Source organism: Homo sapiens, chromosome 3 (genome assembly GCF_000001405.40).
Source record: "Homo sapiens chromosome 3, GRCh38.p14 Primary Assembly".
NCBI lineage: Eukaryota > Metazoa > Chordata > Mammalia > Primates > Hominidae > Homo > Homo sapiens.
Window position 1 is genome coordinate 164,394,874 of NC_000003.12, and position 5,605 is coordinate 164,400,478.

Consider the following 5,605-nt stretch of genomic DNA (forward strand, 5'->3'; position numbering starts at 1 on the left):
ATTATTGTGCATAGCAGTATTATTTGTAATGACCACAAATTGCAAATAACCCGTGTAGGGGAAAAATTATAATTTCTTTTCTTTCTCGTTTTAGGTTCTTAGTTGAGACACTCTCCTGAAAACAAAAATCTGAAAAGTCAGATTAACAAAAGAAAAACAAACAGGTTTATTAATAACAAAAGAAAAACAAACAGGTTTATTAATGTGTGGCATACCCATCATGCAGGAGAGCCCTCAGTTCAAAATTACTTCTTTCTCAAGACAATGGCTTAGGGGCCCTGCTTAAATAGTATTTTAACAAATAGCCATAAATTCTATATAGTGACAAGGTCAGAGAGTATCTTCAGGCTTCCAATAGGTGTGAACATGTAGGAAGGTGACTTTAATGGAAGAGTGAGTCTTTTCCTGGATCCTCTGGTGCTGCTGTCCCTGAGCTCTGTTTCTGAGCTGATAAGCAACTGTTGTAAATGAGCCTTCCTTTAGGTAGAAAAGGCAGAGAGGAAGGGCAGAGTGTGTCCCTGCGTTTTAACCTTTTTCTTTAATTAAAATCTGCAGCATTTGAAAGAGGAACATTTTGGTTTCCTTCACCCAATTTTCTGTTAAATAATGAATGGGTTAATAAAATATAGTATATCCATATTGATATCAGTATATCCATCTGATACTCTCTAATGGTATATCCATATAACTGAATATTACTATTTCAATGAAAGTAATGAAGTACAGATACATGTCATATTGTGGATGAATTTAAAAATATTTTGCAAAGGTAAAGAAACCAGTCACAAAAGACCACATATTGTTTCCATTAATAAGAAATGTCCATATAGAGACAGAAAGTAGACTAGCAGTTGCTTAGAACTTCTAAAGGGTAAGAGACATATTTTTGAATTGATAAAAAAGGTCTAAGCTTAGATTATGATGCTAATTGCACAAGTCTGAAAAACATACTAAAATATTAAATATAATTTAAATGAGTGAGTTTTATGATGTATGAATTTTCTTTCACTAAAGTTGTTAGGTAAAAATAAAAGGAAGCACTCTCTAATGCTTCGTTTAGGAATGAAATATAAACTTTGTAAAAATACACAAATCTTGTGATTATATAAGGTTTACATATTTGCCTGAAATATTGCAAGTGTTCTGTTTTCTTGCTAAAACATTTTTATTTTTACATATTTCTAAATCTTCAATAATTCATTTGTATTGTCTTGAGTGAATCAGAAGAGGAAAACCCAAATTTTGCATTGGGAAAAGGCCGGAGTGTAAAAAATAAGGTATTTATGTGTTCGCTAGTGACATAATAAAGGACAAAGCAATGATGCAGGTTAGTCGTTGCGAACTCTGCTCTTTTGTATTTTTATAAGGCAGGCTGGAACATCCCTTGCAAGTATTTCCCTTCTTTTAAGTGTACATTGGCTGGAAAAAGTTTATTCCCACAGAATATAGTGCTGAATAGAAATCTGTCACTGGAGAAATTTGACTGTCTTTTCAGAAAGAATTCAGAGGTTTGTAGAAGGGCTCTATTATTTACTTTTTGTCTTAATTCTATTATTTTTAGAGAAAAATTTCACTGAAGTATTTTTAGAGATTAATTCAAGCCATGGTTATTTAATTAGGTTGTTGCAAAAGTAATTGCGGTTTTTGCCATTACTTTTAATGAAACAAGAAACAAGACTGAATCAAACAAGAAGTAAGACTGAATGAATATTACTTCATGGCCCCTTTTGGTAAAAGTCAAAGAAAAGTCTTCTGTCAAGTTAGCAATACTTTCATCATTTTTCCTCTTTACAGTTAAAAACTGCAAGTTGTGTTATCTTATGGTTTAAGATATTAAACTTTATTTTCTTTAACAAATGAAGGGAGAAATTTCTAGAGAGATCTGGTATGCTCTTATCTCTGAGAGTCACCATTGGATCTTGAGGCACATATGAACCTGAGGCTGAGTAAAATGCATAGAGAACATTTGAAGAATTGGTATCTTTGATTTACGTATTTTCTACCTACTCAAAACTGTAATTGTTTAATGACAGCTGAAAAAATATTTAGATACATAGTTTTATTCCAAGAAATTATTTCTCTTCATCTGAATTATTATATTTCAGTATGTGTGTTCTTTTCCTAACACTCTCTCCCTTGTCTTGAGTGATTTACATTCATGTTTTACATAGCCTTGCCTACTAAATGTACACAATGCACAAGTGAGTGTGTGTGTATAATAAATAACTTGGAGAATTTGCTCCATAACCCAAAATTTAATAATGAAATCACAAGAAAAAACAATTACTCAAAGTCAACATTTAATAAAATAGCTTAACAAATCCTAAATGTCTTAGTATGAGCTTTAAGCTATTTATTAATAAGGTCAAAGTAATATTAGCTTCTCAATTAAATCTTGTATGAGAACTTTAATAAACACAGTATCTTTACGAAATCCAAATAAATAGGTGATTTAGAATTTGACTGGACTGAAAAACAATTTGAAGGGAAAAATTCATCAAGATAATATTAGAGATTAGATAATGATAAAATGTTTTATCAAAGTATATCAGATAATGGATTGTATACTACTTATTATTTATACATATTTATTTAATATACATTGTATTAAAATATTTATAAGTATGAAATCTTTAATAATAATATGTAGAGATAATTGTTTAGAGTTCTTATAATACATTTTTTATAATAAAAAATCATCACATTGCATATCTCCTTAAACAATAATGGTTAAGGTGGGCATAAGCCAAGAACAATTTTTGGCACTAAATATCCCCAGGTGTTCAAACTGAGAGCTCTTAATCCAGTTAGTTATTAACTGCCAAGTAATGTCTAACAGTGGCACATTTCTCAAACTACAAATTCAAGATATATATAGAAAATTCTATTGTATCATCAGAGGATATAGCAGTCCAGCTATAATATATATACATAAATATATATAAAATATATTTAACCTAATATACTGATTATTGAGGCAATTAAATAATTTGAGACTGTATTTTTAACTATGATTGCTAAAAATTGTGTTTACATATTTTTAACAATAACTGGCAAATATTAACGTTAAATAAAAGTTAGTTGCTTTGGAAGGTTTGAGGATATTTCTATCCCAGTATTGAGTAACAAGTATGTGGATTCTTTCATGCTGCCATATTGGTATGAATATCTTTTACACCTTCAGGAGCTTCAGTATTGCAAAAATAACACATCTTCCATATTAAGTCTCTAAATAACAATAAATATTAGTTTCAGAGATTTATAATTTCTCAGTAGAGTTCACTTTTCTTGTTTCTTGTTATTATTTTTACCAAAAAAGACATATATTTTACTCACTATACAAAAATAAAATTAAAAGAAAACAAAAATAAGCATAGTGGTTTTATCTGTGGTTAGTCTTTTAAAATTCTTTTTAGAGATACATTTGTAATTATTTTAATTGTTAAGAATTCTTCCCTTCCACAATTTACTATCCCACACTTGTCTTTAACTTTCAGATATACTTTTTCTCTTTTAGCAAAAGCACTCCAGGGCAGTCACTCCAACAGTATGTAGTTGTATAAGTTCCACAGAATGCTATTTCTTACTGGCTAGACTTACATTCTTCCCAACTTAGCTATATGAAGCGATTTCATTCATTTAAAATTGAAGTGGCTTCTGGTATGTTCTAAAATAACATTAAAAAATAGCAACTATTGGCCTGGCATGATGGCTCACTTCTGTAATCCCAGCACTTTCGGAGGTTGAGGCAGGAGGATCACTTGAAGTCAGGAGTTCGAGACCAGCCTGGGCCAACATGGTGAAACCCCGTCTCTACTAAAAATACAAAAAAATTAGCTGAGTATGGTGGCAGGCGCCTGTAATACCAGCTACTTGGGAGGTTGAGGCAGGAGAATCACTTGAACCTGGGAGGCAGAGGTTGCAGTGAGCCTAGATCGCACCATTGCACTCCAGTCTGGGCAAAGAGAGCAAAACTCTGTCTCAAAAAAAAAAGAAAATTATGCTGGAGGTAATGGATTAATATATGAATTCACTGCATTTTAAAAAAGTATCACTACATTTTCTCTAGTTTGAGTTTCCCTAATGAATTGTCTATTCTGGTTTTAAAGTGTCCTGTAAGGGCTTTCTGCCTTTTGTTCCTTTAAATTCTTTATGCTACTAACAGAAAAGTATTTCTAAAATGCAAAATGTTACATCTCACTTGTTCACCAATATCTGATAACTTAGCAGAGACTATATAAAACAGTGCTTTAAAATTGTGCTAGCTACCATAACAGGTAAACCTTGATGAAACAGAGTATTGTACAGTAGTTTGACAAAATTAATTCAGAAACTCATATGACAGAATTTCTCTAATCTCAAAACTTGGTTCCAAAGTTTACCTTGGACATTGGAAACCATCAGAATGAGAGAAGAGAGACAATACCATACATGAGATTTAATTAGCCCAAGACTATGGCTTTATGTAGTTTTATATGGCAAATATAATTTTTACCCTTATTTCATTCGCCAAAACCACAAGCCCAGACCACCAAAAAAATACGTCAGAATTTTATGGGCCAGCGATATGTTCAGGAAGAGAAAGAAGGTTGAGATTACTTAGTTTTTACTTGCTGAAAAGCTAAGCAATCTCAAATTCTGGACAGTGCAACCAGGATTTTACTTAAACCTCAGTTACAGTCTTAACTTTGTACCTTTGTCATATATCTTCCAGTCCAAACGTGTCATTGCTCATAAAGTAGAATTTTATGTGCCTGGACTCGTGTTCTTTCCTATACCTTAAAATTCACTGGCCATTGCCAATCAGAATTGCCAATCTTTTAAAATTTGGTAAGTATTTTCTATTCCCTCTATTCTATTAAATTCTATTAAATTCTCCCTATCAGAGACACTTTTCTCATTTTTTCTTCCTATTTTAACGCGGTATTAAAAAGACTTCCACCACCATGAGTTAAGTCATTTTACTGCAAAATTTAAAAATAGTTACAAATTAATTTATAGTTAAAATAATAGAATATATAATCACAATGTGAATATTGTAGAGAAATTCATTCGGTTTCATTAAATAAGCTTATCACATTTTGCATATATTGATTCTTATCTTAATGTATCAAGGAAATGAATAGAAGTTTGTATCAAATCCCTGTAGCATTTTCAGTCTGTTACTTTCCCTCAAATATTATTCAAGTCCTTTAAGACGCTTATAGAAGTTATCAGAGCAAGACCTAATAATTATTATTTCCATAAATCTTTTAATTTAAATGTAACACAGACTTCAGCTTTCTACAGTTTTAATATTGTTTAGCCCCAAACATTTTCCATAATCTAAACCACCTGATATAAAGAAAACAATAAATTAAATAAAAAGTTCTTCAATGAGCCAAAGTATTAATCGGGACTTTTTTTTTTTTTTTTTTTTTTTTTGACATGGACTCTCACTCTTTTGCCAGGCTGGAGTGCAGTGGCATGATCTCGGCTCACTGCAACCTCCGCCTCCTGGGTTCAAGCGATTCTCCTGGCTCAGCCTCCCAAGTAGCTGGGATTACAGGCACGTGCCACCACATCCAGGTAATTTTTGTATTTTTAGTAAGGACAAGTTTTTACC